The 14930-nt window shown below is 33.5% G+C and overlaps 1 protein-coding gene across 25 annotated transcripts in view; it reads left to right on the top strand.

Moving 5' to 3' along the window:
• The window catches only part of ANKRD17 (ankyrin repeat domain 17), a 185423-nt gene that overhangs the window by 109206 nt on the left and 61287 nt on the right, over positions 1-14930 (top strand). For 8 of the 25 annotated variants that reach the window (XM_047450038.1, NM_032217.5, XM_047450039.1 and 5 more), the window contains 9 exons: positions 543-780; positions 2161-2352; positions 2720-2829; positions 4761-4848; positions 6826-6953; positions 7208-7351; positions 7750-7852; positions 9310-10062; positions 14328-14476. In XM_047450038.1, the coding sequence (XP_047305994.1) occupies positions 543-780; positions 2161-2352; positions 2720-2829; positions 4761-4848; positions 6826-6953; positions 7208-7351; positions 7750-7852; positions 9310-10062; positions 14328-14476 (1905 nt within the window). The remainder of the gene's footprint in view (positions 1-542; positions 781-2160; positions 2353-2719; positions 2830-4760; positions 4849-6825; positions 6954-7207; positions 7352-7749; positions 7853-9309; positions 10063-14327; positions 14477-14930) is intronic. The other 17 variants (NM_015574.2, XM_017008011.2, XM_047450041.1 and 14 more) reach the window with 3 other exon arrangements.

Genomic DNA, 14930 nt, shown 5'->3' with positions numbered 1-14930 from the left:
ACCTGGCCCTTTTCTTAATTTCACTGGTACTTGGACGATGAACAATATAGAAAGTACCATGTACGCATTTGTGTTCCCCTAACACAGCATGTATCCTTCCCCCACTTCTCCAAAAAGGGTTCCATTTTTTTCTAACTAATCAAAAGTTTGCTTATCCTTAAAGATTCTTATGAAAATTCTTCTTTTCCTCTCTAAACTTTATCCTTTTAACATTTAAGTTTGTACCATATAGTGTTGATGTCTCACTATAGTCTCTTATTTCACATACTTACTGTTTTTTTTTCTAATGGTTAATAAGCTTCTTGATTGAAGGTATCATGTTTCTACTTATTTTATATTTTCAATCTCTATTTCCCTCTTCTATGTTAACAGAATATAGGCAGTGCATAATAAATACTGATTTACTCAACTGTTAAATGTAGCTCTATTCCTTTTTGAGTGGAGATAGATAAACTTCATTGTATAGTAATTGAGAAGTCTTCAAATTTTTCAAGATTTTTTTAATGGTGCTGATTTAATTTTTTAAATTGTATTATCATTAGGATGGCCATGTTGAAGTAGCTAGGTTACTTCTTGACAGCGGTGCCCAAGTGAACATGCCTGCTGATTCATTTGAGTCACCATTAACTTTGGCTGCATGTGGTGGGCATGTGGAACTTGCGGCTTTACTTATTGAAAGAGGAGCTAGCCTGGAAGAGGTCAATGATGAAGGTTATACACCATTGATGGAAGCAGCTCGAGAAGGACATGAAGAAATGGTGGCATTACTTCTTGGTCAAGGTAACCGTATCTATCAAGACACTAAAGTATAAATGTGTAAAACCTAAGAGTATAATTTTATAAAATTGGATTTTAGTATTTCACCTTTCTAGTAGAGTTGCAATGAGCTATTACACAAACCAGTGATAAAGTATTTACTGTGAAAATGGCTCCCATACTGTGTTAAAACAAAATCAAAGAAACTTCTTTCATATAGAGCTTTCAGAGACATCATGTGCTATATGTGAACGAAAAACAGAACTGGTGTTGGCAAGGCTTGTGAGTTAAATAGGGGAATATAAGAGCCAACATTTCTAAAGGTAATAGATCAAGAGAATGTATTCCTTTGGGGGCGGAATACCTACTAATAAGTATTTAATAGATCTAATGTTTTAAAAAACAGTATGGGAAACCACGCAGTAAAGACTAACTTGCTGAGAGTGCAAGAATGCGCACATATTAGAAGCTGCCAAGGGGCTCAGTACATAAACTTCTTTTTTGGGAAAAGTGAAACAATTACTTCAATATGTTAAGATATCTTCAGTTTAGAAGTAATCTCCCATCTCTGTATTTGTAGTGTGATTTTATTTTTCTTTCAGTAGTAAAGTTTTTGTCTGGACAAATTTAAGAGGAATGACACTTTTAAAAAAAACTTTTGTTTTTATTTAGAAGTAATGTTGACTATGATTTTTAAAGCGTAGGTTTTGGAGCAGACTTCTTAGGTTGAATCATAACTCCACTGCTTGCCAATTTTGTAACTTTAGGCAAGTTTCTAACCTTCTGTGCCTCAGTTTTCTCGTGTAGGGTTGTTGTGATAGTTAATACGTGTGTATAAAGCTAATAGAACAGTGCTTGTCATGTAGTGCCTGTTAAGTGCTAGCTATAGTGATGGTGGTAGTATTGATGACAATAATGTTGTGACCTTGTATAAGTTAAATAACCTCAGTTTCCTTAGCTGTAAAATGGAACTAATAATAATAATAATAATACCTAAATAAGTTGTAAAATGCTTTGATATTGCCTGGGAAATAGAGCTTATTGAATGTTAAGATTTTTATTATCATCATCATCATCATTATCACCAGTATCTTTATCATTTTTGAATCACTATAATGAGAGGATGTAGCTTATTTTTTTGAGTTCTTTTATCACCCGACTTGTACCTTCTGGCTGAGTAAATATTACTCCAGCTGTGGTACATCAAATCTGGGTGTGATTTTAATAGTTTTATTTATTTTTAGTTTTAACTGCCTTAGGAGTTAGGAGAGAGGCACTTTCTTATTTATTATAGTAATATAAATGTTCATTTTAAAGATTCAGTTTATTAAGAAACAATCATGTTTTTCATATCTCTGGAATAAGTTAATGACTTTCTTTAAATAATTAGAATCTTTATTTTAGGAGCAAATATCAATGCACAGACAGAAGAAACTCAAGAAACTGCCTTGACTCTGGCTTGCTGTGGAGGCTTTCTGGAAGTGGCAGACTTTCTAATTAAGGCAGGAGCCGATATAGAACTAGGGTGTTCTACCCCTTTAATGGAAGCTGCTCAAGAGGGTCATTTGGAGTTAGTTAAATACTTATTAGCTGCAGGTAGGCATTTTTGCATTTGGGAGAAGTTTTTTACATGATTTGTTTAAGTAAAAATGTCATAATGCAAATATTTTTATGATGCTATGATACACTGAATGTGTGAGTTTAAAAAAACGTGTGATATACCTTTGTATGTATTCTGAACAGTTTACCTTACTGCTGTTTGAAGTATCTGCAGCTTTAATTTCAACCAGTTTTGTTTGTAATTTTTTTAATGCCTACAATATTCTCTGTTTCTGGAAATGAGTGAAGTTTGAATTTGTTTAACTTGAGGAGGTATGACTTATCTAGAAGAAGTTTTTATTTTCGTCATATATGTCTTATGGCTCCTTTATTAAGTCTATGTATTATTTGTTGACTACTACAGGAGCTAACGTTCATGCAACAACAGCAACAGGGGATACAGCACTAACATATGCCTGTGAAAATGGTCATACTGATGTAGCAGATGTCTTACTTCAGGCAGGCGCAGATCTGGTAAGCTATGTTACTTTTTAAATCTTAATATTTAACAATAAGAAATTAATTTTAAATTATGGAGAGTCTAGACAAAAGGTATTTCTTTACCTTCAGTTTTATTGTTTTTTTTATTTTTATTTTTTTGCCATTCTTTCTCTCACTTAGTCACATTTTTTTCCACACTGTTTAGTGTCCATCCTTAATAGGGTTATTCACTGCATTATCCCTCATTTTCCATAGAAAAAGGAAATTTTTGTGTTACAGATATTAATGCAGACTGGTTTTCCCTTAGATATTAACTATTTTTAGAAGCTTTTCTGATTTGATATAAAAAGGCAAATGTGGCTTAGAGGAATTTCAGTATTGCTTAGGAAATAAATTATGCCTACAATATTCAGAACATTATTAAATAATAAAAGAGTTTAAAACATAAATAATAAACTTTTCCCTCAAGTACTTTATAATTTCAGAAAAAATAATAGGTGACAAATACTGAGGTTATTATAAGAGATGTTGTAGTGAAAATGCAGAGTAAAGAAGATCAGAAGGTAAAGCAGTCATCTGATGTATTATTTTGGGGATGGCTAAAGTTTAGAAAGATAGATATGGCAGTGTTGTGGCTAAAGAGATATTTCAATTGGAAAAAATGTTATGAGTGAAGCCTGAGGGGTAAGAAAGCATGAAGCAACTGTGTGTGGGTAGAATAGGTGGTCTTCCAGTCTAGCCTGCGGGGTAAAAGGAATAAGACATCCAAAGGCCCATTTTAGTTAAAATGTAAGCACCCATATATTTATGGCCCCGAGATTCTAAGATTAATAAGCAACTGTGCTCTTTCCTTCACAGTTTATGACAAATTCATGTGCAGGCAGCAACAAGCCCCCCTTCAGTAATTAATTTTATAAACTTAATAATTTATAATTTAATCTTTCTTTTGTCATTTATGAGAAGAGAATGTTGAATTAGATTATTGCTGGGGCCACTTAGTGTTAGCACTAAGTCTAACAAGGGAGACATAAGCACACAACTAACTAGAATAGAACGTATATAATAAGTGCTTCGAGCTTGTTAGACTTAGAGCTTCTTCAGTGTAAGAACTGTATTCCTAGTGTTTGCCACAATGGCTCTGAAACATACAGCAGTGAAATCTTTAGTACTTGGTTAGTTGATGGCAATTAGAAAAACCTAGGATATGGCTTAAGAGAAAAATCAGAAATTGTTCATCAGATGTGAAGGCTTTTTAAAAAAAGAAATAAAAAATGCCATACAAAAGATACTTTTTCTCAAATCTTTATTTTTTTAAGATTGAAAATTTCACCAGTAGTGTTCTTGATTACTTAGTAATCATAAGTATGCAGTAGAGTCTCCATCCTTTTGGGACCCAGAAAGCTCTTGTAACATCTTAGAGTTGATGGTTTTAGAAAAGTTTGTTATCATTTTTGTATAAGGGAAACTAGAGATAATAGGAAGTCTGTAAAGAGATGGTAATGATGTACTTACTAAAATTCATAGAGATGGGATACACTCATAAGAGGAAAATAACTTGGAGTGGATGAGGATAATGCTCATTATATTGATTGTTCGGAGAAGGCCATGCTAGAGTACCATACATGCATATTCAAGTACCGCAATTCATTGTGTAGAGAGAAGGACAAATTACTCAGATGCGTTTAGATGAGGGCATCATGATCACGTGACTATAACTTCAAATTTAAAATTATTTCCAGTGCTCACTTTGGCAGCACATATACTAAAATTATTTCCATAGAACATGTTTATGATTTGAGATTTTTTTTAAATTTAAAAGTATATTTCTTAATTTGCTTCAAAGCATTATATTTAAATATTTAGATTCAGAAATCAGTCCAATTATTTTCCTTTTGATTTCCATGAAAAAGAATACTTGTTCACTGGCAATTAAATGTCAAGTCTTTTTTTTTTTTTTTAAACAGGAACATGAATCTGAAGGTGGAAGAACTCCTTTAATGAAAGCTGCAAGAGCTGGTCATGTTTGTACTGTTCAGTTCTTAATTAGTAAAGGTAGGTTTGTATAAAACAGTTGTCTTTTTTTGAAAGGTATCTACCCCTGCCTTCATTTAGAGATTTAAGGGTAAAGGTCTTTTGAAGGCAAGAGGGTATCATATGAGGAGGGATGCTACTGACATTTAATGATTGAGTGGATAGTTGATAAACATCCTGCCATGCACAGACCAGCTTCAAACTAGAAATAATTGTCATACCAAGTAGCACACTTGTTGTGAAACGTATAAAGGAAAGGGAAATTTCTCTGTGTAAAAACTGAGGATTTAGGTAACAAACTCTGCTGTGTTCATGTACTATAGCACTTTCTTGAAACCTGGAATTTTATGATGTTTCTGCCACTAAAAAAGTTTGTGGCAAGTAACATTTCTACTATTTCCCTGCTTCTATGTTTCCTTTTTTATAAAATACAGGGAGCTGGTTATAAATATAGTACAAAAAATGTTCACAATAGAAATGTGACAAATATAGCAAATTGCATGAGGATTTTCATTCATGATCAGAAATTTTAGTTTGAATACCAAAGACCTTAATGACCAAATAAAATAAAAGGGAGTATATTATTACTTTCTTTAAATTGTTTCTTAACGTGCTTACTAGGAAAGTTCTAGTTGAGACAGTTTTCAATTCAGAGTTCATCATATTCTTAAGTATAAGAGATTACAGATTTTATTTTTGATTCTGCATTGATAAAAGAAAGAGGAAGCCAGGTGTGGTGGCTCACCCTTGTAATCTCAGCTCTTTGGGACCTCGAGTCAGGAGGGTCCTTTCAGTCTTGTAGTTCAAGACTAGCCTGGACAACACAGTGAGATTCTGTCTCTACAAAAAATTAAAAAATTAGCTGGGCATGGTGGCTTGCACCTGTAGTGCCAGCTAGTTGGGAGGCTGAGGTAGGAGAAGCACTTGGGCTCAGGAGTTCAAGATTATAGTGAGCTATGATTGTGCCACTGCACTCCAGCCAGGGTGACAGAGTGAGAACCTGTCTCAAAACAAAAAAAAGATGTAGGCCATATACAATTTTAAAAGGCAATAATATACCATTTTCTTCACATTATAATAATAGTAACGAAATCTCAAGTTTATAATTGTTTATAGGTAAAGAAAATTTGAAATAACTTACTGGCGAAATTACTTTCAACATTTTCCCATGCACTGGTGATATGCTTTAGAATACTGTTATGAATATATAGCATTATGTACATAATCGCTGTCCCCTCTCATTGGTTAATTTTAATGAGTTTGATTTCAGTTTCTTTCTGCTGTTTTATTTCCATTTCTCACATTACCTAGCACAGTAATCCAAATTAGGGATAGAGGTCAGGTGCAATGGCTCATGCCTGTAATTTCAGCATTTTGGCAGGCCAAGGTGGGAGGATCACTTGAGCCTAGGAGTTTGAGACTAGCCTAGGTAACATGCATGGCAAGACCCCATTTCTACGAAAACAACAAACGAATAAATTAGGGATACATTCCTATTTGGGAATAGGGGTGAATTATCTATTTTCCTTGTCAGGAATTTACTAATGGGAAAAAAAATGGTACTATTCTTTCTATTTAGTGTTTATTCTCTACATAAAGCCCATAGAGGGCAGTATAGTTTATTTTTATTCAGTCATCTTTTCTACTGAAGAACTTAAAATACAAATAAAACTTCATATTTTACTTTTAATACAGTTATTACATTAGGAGTAATGGGTACTTTGGTATCTTTTACTGGTGCATACTCAAACCTTTTCAAATTATATCGTGTTTGTCTGGGATTTATTTACTTTAGAATAATCCAAGATGGGAGAGGAGAATTAATGTAGGATATTTGTGAAATGAGATTGGCCTTGTGTTTATAATCATTAAAGCTCGGTAATGGGTATGTGGAGCCTCATAATACTATTTTCTCTACTCTTCATGATTTTTAAATTTACCATAATTTTAAGAAAAACCATTCTACTAATATGATTTTCCATGCCTTTTCTGTTTTAGGAGCGAATGTGAATAGAACCACAGCTAATAATGACCATACTGTACTGTCCCTGGCTTGTGCAGGGGGTCATCTGGCAGTGGTGGAACTACTTTTGGCTCATGGGGCAGATCCTACTCACCGTTTGAAAGTATGTAACTCAAATGTTTGTGCAGAATTGTGAATTAGTATTTCTCTCTTGGTCATTGTTACAACATATCATGTACAAGTTCCATTCATAATGGCATTCTAAGTGTAAATTTTCTCCTTTTTCACTTGAAGCGTTCTTTACCAAACCTATGATTTTAATGCGTCTGGGACCTGTTGGCTTTATCTTCCTAAGTGATTCTGTAAACTAACTTATTTTTCTTCACTTTTTTTCCCCTTCCATATTCACTCTTTTAGGATGGCTCAACTATGTTGATAGAAGCAGCAAAAGGTGGCCATACAAGTGTTGTTTGCTATCTCTTGGATTATCCTAATAACTTGCTTTCAGCCCCTCCACCAGATGTCACTCAGTTAACTCCCCCATCCCACGATTTAAATAGGGTAAGATTTTAAAAATTAAAGCATTTTATGGTATGTCTTCTTTATCCTAATTCTTTCACTTACAGTTTCTGTTTAAATTAGGGTTTTTTTTTGTTCTAATATGTAGTTCTGTTTGTAAATATGTACTTGATACAGTTAATGAACATCTGGTACAATATTCAGATCCTAGATGATATGATTATGCTTTAGCTTTTAAAGGTCACAACTTGAATTCAAAGCCTACTAAAAAATGTCGTGGTAAACAATTTGGTGCCAACATATTTTAAGTAAATATGTCATTGTCTAAGATGACATATTAAAAATATTGTCAAAAAATCTCTAATTTATTCTTTATTTAGAGCATATTACTTAATGGATTGTGTAGGACACTAATAGTCACTTAGTGTCCTTTGTCTTAGGCTCCTCGTGTACCAGTTCAAGCACTGCCCATGGTTGTTCCACCTCAGGAGCCTGACAAACCACCTGCCAATGTTGCCACCACTCTTCCCATCAGGAATAAAGGTCAGTTATACTTCTAAAGACTGTTTCTTACTTGGTGTCCAGGTAAAAATAAGATTACCAAAAAATAGACATTTCTACAAACAAAGAAGTTTACTAAGTTGGCATTACTAAATTTTTAACCCATGATAAAAGCATGTTATTGGGAGAAAAAAATAGTTAATAGCACTAATTTGTGCTACAATTAGAAGTTTTAGCATGAGAAATTCAGATGCTCATCTTTGATGCAGTTCTGATTATCCATGATTTCCTTTAATAGTAATTTTTATTCATGTAAAATGTTAAGCTGGGTATAGTTGAGCAATATTTTTATAAATTACTTACCTAAATCTCTGCAGTTATAAAGGCATAAATTAACAAGATGTATCAAATATTAGAAATTTATTTTAGAATGACTGGCTTAATATAGATTTTATATCTGATCTGGGATACCTTTTCTCAACCAATAATTCAGTTACTTGAGATATGCTTGTTTATTTCTCTAGAATTCTGAGGTCCATATTTGACTTGTGTATGTTACACCATGTGTGTTCTTAAGTAATGTCCCCAAACATTTTATACCTACCGGTTTGAATCAGTTTTTCTTTTTAAAAGTTTTACCTGAAGAAACAGTGCAGTTTTTATTTTTTGGTTTTTGGCTACGTATACTCTTTTATGAACAAGAATGCTAAGTATTTTCACCAGCTCTTTTCAGTCACTACTATCAACCTAGAGCCTTGGCACCTTTTTCAGTTGGTATAGCAAACAATTGATTGCTATACCTATAGCCAGATCTGTCTGTTCACCTGGCTGTCAGAAGATACAGTGGATGGCATAGTCCAGCATCTTTTCTTCCAGGGAAACTGAATCCCAATTCTCTACTGGCCAGATAGCTGTGTGAATATGTGAATTTATATCTTGCCTCTATTAGTCTTGAAGATGGTAGGCCCCAACAAAGACATATATTTTACTCAGATTTTAATTTCTTGTTACTTCTTAGTGGTTTGGGTACTTTTTGTGTGTATGTGTGTGTGTTTAAAAGGCACAGACTATGAAATGTGAAAAAACCTGACTTAGAGGTCTGTTTCCTCTTCACCCTAATAATTTAGCATTATTGTTCTGTTCTTATGATGAGTTTTAACATCTTTATGACCATATAAAATATCTACACATAGCCTTAGATGTTACTTTAATTGCACACTTAGATATCACAAACCTGCATTCCTCTATTGTCTAATTTAAGCCATGTGCTATTTTTAAGATTCTGAAATTAATTTACAAAGATTTTGCACATAAAATACATACATTTTATATTTGTGAAAAAGAAGGTGGATTTGTTTTTAATTTTTTAACAGTGCATTTTCACCTGTTATGGATATGATTACTTAGTGCATAACTGTTGGCACTAAACCTCCCAACAGTAACTCTGTAATGAGGATGCCATTCATGTGCACTTCTGAGGGGGTTTCTTTTTCACACAGCTGCTTCTAAACAAAAGTCCAGCAGCCATTTGCCAGCAAACAGCCAGGATGTACAGGGTTACATCACCAATCAGTCTCCAGAGAGCATTGTAGAAGAGGCTCAGGGAAAGTTAACAGAACTGGAACAGAGGATAAAAGAAGCCATAGAAAAGAATGCACAGCTGCAGTCCTTGGAACTGGCTCATGCTGACCAACTTACCAAGGAGAAGATCGAGGAGCTCAACAAAACAAGGGAGGAACAAATTCAGAAGAAACAAAAGATTTTGGAGGAACTACAGAAAGTAGAACGAGAGTTACAACTGAAAACTCAGCAGCAGCTAAAAAAGCAGTATCTAGAGGTTAAAGCTCAAAGAATTCAACTTCAGCAACAGCAGCAACAGTCTTGCCAACACCTGGGATTACTAACTCCTGTTGGAGTTGGAGAGCAGCTTTCTGAGGGAGACTATGCACGGTTACAGCAAGTGGATCCTGTTTTACTTAAAGATGAACCCCAGCAGACTGCTGCTCAGATGGGTTTTGCGCCAATCCAGCCTCTGGCGATGCCTCAAGCTTTGCCTCTGGCGGCAGGTCCCTTGCCTCCAGGGTCCATCGCAAATCTTACAGAACTGCAAGGAGTGATAGTTGGACAGCCAGTACTGGGCCAAGCACAGTTGGCAGGGCTGGGGCAAGGAATTCTGACAGAAACACAACAAGGGTTAATGGTAGCCAGCCCTGCTCAGACCCTCAATGACACGCTGGATGACATCATGGCAGGTGGGTTTATATTGTTATGAGCAGGTATCAAATATGATTTGCTTAAGGCGAGTAAGAATGTACCCAAATTTTTTGCCGTTACCCAACTTGAGAACTATTTTTGGACTGACTCATGTCTAGCTTTAGAAGTATTAGTTCAATCTCAGAAGTTCTCAGATGGATACAGGTCAAATTAAAGATTAGCTCATTCAGTACAAATGACTGAAGCTTTCTGGCTTAGCTTGGTAGCTTGAGAATCTAGGTTTTTCAGTAGTGGGGTTGATGTTTGATTTTTGTTTTTGTTTTCATTTTTTTCCTTTAAGTTCAGAATACTGAGATTGAATTTTGGCATTTTGCTTCTGTATTCACACCAATAAACTGGGAAATTGATAGAAGTTGAAGTGCAAAACTAGTAGGACACATCAGGAAGCTTATTTATGAACAGAAATACTTTATATCCTAATGGATCAGACTTCAAACCTGATGGATATTTAAAAAAAAAAACACTTTTACAAAATTAATAAAGTTCAAAACCAAATAGGGTTTAATTATACTGTATGTAAGTGATTTTGTCCCCTGTGAATGTTAATGTGTAGTCTCTTTCTAACTGTATCATGAGAAGGTGTGGCCCCCCTGAAAGTATCATAAATGATATATTTTTAGATGTGTAGCCAGATAAATTTTATTCGATTATAACTAGTTTCATTGACAAGAAGATACACTTTAGAAGACTGTTTTTATGCTTCTAGTTTTTGGTACTTATTTTTTGTGTTTTGTAACAAAGTAATGGGATGAGGTTTTATAGGGTTGTGAACCATAAGAATGCTGTACTGAGAAGGATAATTTGCTTCATTAAAAAAAGAAAATTTGAAAAGGAAGGAAAACAGAAAAATGAAAGGAATAAACAGTGGAATTTTGGTGACTTCCATCTGATCTCTTCCCCTTTTTTATTCATTCATCTGTACTTAGAGGATGATTGACTTTTTCTAATTTAAAAACTGTTTCAGTAGCATTAAATATGATGAGCTTATTTTTTTTTAAGTTTCATCTTTTAAATGGATAATAGGAAACTAAACTGTATAGTGTTTAGATATTTAGGTAACGTTCAGACACTAAGAATCCAGCTGAGATAGATTTTATACTTAAAAATATCTGTAAAGTTTGCTAGTCCGCCTTTAATAGCACCTCAGTAGTTATAACATGTGGAATGAAAATTTCTGCTAGTCTTAAGGGTTAAATAACCACATTGGAAAAATGCTAGTAATAATTACTAGTAAGAATTGTACGACTCTTATTGATGAGTGCAAAATTTTTCTATAGATTTGAAAGTCACTACTAATCATGACTAGCTGATTATAATAATTGAGAGTAAACTTTTAAAATTATTAAATATCCTGTGAAAGTTGGAGCACAGTAACCATTAACCCTAAATTTGATACTATGTCCATATGAATTCAGATCATAATAGTGCTCTATCATGTGAAACTACTAAAGGATGTATAGAGTTAAATATTACGTATCCACTTTAATGAAGAATAGGTATTACACAGTAATGGTTGTTTAAAAAAATTTTTTTTATATAATATCAGAGTTTACCTGATGTGCTTGGGCATGCATAGTTGTCAACAATGATTTGCTAGTTGTACAGTTTTGTATGCTGATCAGAATTATCAGAAGTTTGTAAAGTATCTTTTCTTTTGATTCATACATGAAACAAAAACAATTCTGTGTATTCTCAGTGTTCTGTATAAAAAAATTTTAAGTGCATATAACTTTTTAGGAAATATGACAGATGCTTGTCATAATACAAAAATATTTTACTTTTTTATTATGCTCATTTCTATGGGGAGAGAAACATAGCCAGAAGGAGGAAGAGTAGGATTGAAAACATTTGGCTACTTACCTGCAACTCATCCCTGACAACAGGCATGTGCACATTCACACACATGCACATATACTCATGCACTGACTTTTGCAGCCTCAATCTTAAATTTCTGTGGTAGGATGTATCCTTTCAGTTGCTTAATGATGATTTCCACTTCTTTCTTAGGGGTTTAAAGTATATTACAGCCTCATTAGTCTCATCGTCTTCTTTTCCTCCCTCTAGCACAGTCCCTGCTCTTTATTTCTTAGGCTTCATTTATTAGACTTCTACCATAAAATTTGCTGACCAAAATCGTCTGTCTTTCCTGTTCTTCACACTTGCCAAACCAGAATCAGCTCCCTGTTTAACCTGTCTCAACACCTTGCCTTTGCTATCATTTCAAGTTCCCTTTTTTCTATGCTGACATTAAAACTTTTCTGATGTGTGGTTCTCCCTCTCTAAATCTAACACTAAAATGAAGCCCCACATGTAAAGATTTTTACCAGAGTTCCTTCAGGTACCTACATATTTTACATTTGTTTCTTTTAGTTGTAGAGAATGGATGTGTGATTGACAGTCACCTAATTTTAGTAAACCAATTTTATAGGTACCCCGAAGGAAATGATGAGATAATTGATTTTTCCTGTCTCCTTTTAGATGAGGTGATAAGAACAACCAATTTGACTTAAAAAAAAAAAAAAAAAAAACTCTGTAATTTTGGTAGGTTCTTTAAAAGAAAATATTCCAGTTGAAATGTAAATTATAATTTAGTCATTTAACAATAAAACTTAGATTTTTTTTAACCTGTTTAGTATTATGAAATAAAATTTAGTGATTCGGACAGACTGGTGTTCATCCTGTTTAAGCTACTTTTTGTATTTAGCAGTTTTATTGTGAAAATCCAATCAAAGGAGATATGGAATCAATTTAAAGAGCTCTAGATTTTATATGATTTTGAAATGTATATCAACAATATGTACATTTAAATTATCTTGATCTTTTCGTAACATACAAAACTATCAATATGGAGTAACAATATCCAGATCGCTAGATTATCAATTTAATATATTAGTATATGCCCTTTTCTATTGGTCTGGATCCCTAAGGATTCAAACAGTGTTTTGTTTTGTTTTGTTTTGTTTTCTCCTTCGTTTTTCCTTTGGCTTTTAAGTGGACTTAAAAATGTATAATTATAGAATGTGTGTTGCTATAATGTATAGTGTATGTTTGTGCCTGAACTAAGGATTTCATGTAAAATAGATTTCTTAATTCATAATTATGTTTATAATTGTTATAATAAGATCAATTTCAGTTTTATTCTTGACAGGATCATAATCTCTTTTGCCTGGTTTCAGATCCAGTTGTGAATCATGATTGTTTTCTGTCTGATGTAGTTGATAACTACTTTGGTAATACACATCCACAGTACTGTTGACCAGTCAAAGATAAATGCCCATACTTTAATACTATAGCATTTTTAATGGGGTTGGGGGAGATGATGTTCACCTATCAACTCCAGAAATAAGGCAATGAGAGAATAAAGTACCCTCAGCTGAATCTACAGTATATCCTATGCCAGCATATTTGGAGTCCTCCCACCTCAAGTACTGATCAGAATAGCCTTTTCTTAAGTTGCATATTTTGGTGAAAATAATATCACAGCAACATCATACTTAGAATAATAGTAATCCATATTTGAAGAATGTTTGTGTGCATACATTTATTTCTACCCTAATCTTTTAATTTTGTCCTTAAGTCAGTGTGATTGCTGGATTCATTGGTGAGCATTTTAGCTCCCTCAGAATAATTCTTCACATGAGCAACTACACTTCTGTGTGAGGATAAATTTTTATATTTGAATATCCTGTCATTCCAGAGGGCTACAATGCAGAATATTACTATATCCCAGTCTGCAGTTAGTAAAACAGTATGGCGGTGTTTTAAATGATTGCATAGTGAGATTTCTCCCTCCCCGACAGTGATATTAATTTTACTAGTTCTAGAATATAAGGTGTGAAATTGGCAAGTAAAAACCACATATTCCCCCTTCTGATCTTGACTATTTTACCTTTGATCCCCTTTCTAATTAGGATATAATGGACAAGTTTCCATTTGCATTTATATTTAATACATAAACATTTTTGTTTTCAGGGTTATTTTGAATTAAGGTTTTACGACTGCTTATAACAGGGGAATTTGTTTTTCAGTTGGATTATTATTTAGAAAATGAGTTACTCAGTATACATTACAATTTTACACTGTCATCAGTGAATAATAACCAGGAAAATTAGTTATTAGTGCTATAGTAGTCTTCCTGTAGACATATTGTTTTAAGAAGTCTTTAAATATTTTTGAGTGAATATGTCTTAGTATTACTTAACAATGTTTCATCCTTATTAAGTGCAGTTATTTTGTTCAACAGCAGTCAGTGGAAGAGCATCTGCAATGTCAAACACTCCTACCCACAGTATTGCTGCATCCATTTCCCAACCTCAGACTCCAACTCCAAGTCCTATCATCTCTCCTTCAGCCATGCTTCCTATCTACCCTGCCATTGATATTGATGCACAGGTAAGTCCCAAACTTAAGAGAGATGGTTTTTTCATTGGAATTATGCCATAATTAAAAACATTAACTTTCAGAGATTTAAACCATGAAAGACTGCTTTGTCTCTAGGCAAAGTCTTGAGCCAGTTTTAAATTAATTAAAGTTCACATTTAAAAAATAAAATGCTAAATATAGATTATTAGTGATAATTATGTGATGGTCTGGTTTCCAAGGTCATCAGGTAACCTTTTTTTTAACTTTAGTTCACAAGAGGATATAAAAGAAAAATAATTTATTTAAGATTAGTGCATAACTTCTTCTAATAATAAATTAATAGAAGATATGGTTTGAAATATATAATGGATTGCATGTAAAAGAAAAAAGGTTCTAACATAAAATTATATTTTTGTATGTCATACACATGATTGATATCATATATCATCTTTGAAAATTCTCATCTTACTGATTGAAATATGTG

The sequence above is a fragment of the Homo sapiens genome, chromosome 4 (assembly GCF_000001405.40).
Source record: "Homo sapiens chromosome 4, GRCh38.p14 Primary Assembly".
In the NCBI taxonomy this organism is placed as follows: Eukaryota; Metazoa; Chordata; class Mammalia; order Primates; family Hominidae; genus Homo; species Homo sapiens.
This window is presented reverse-complemented; position numbering and strand designations above follow the sequence as displayed.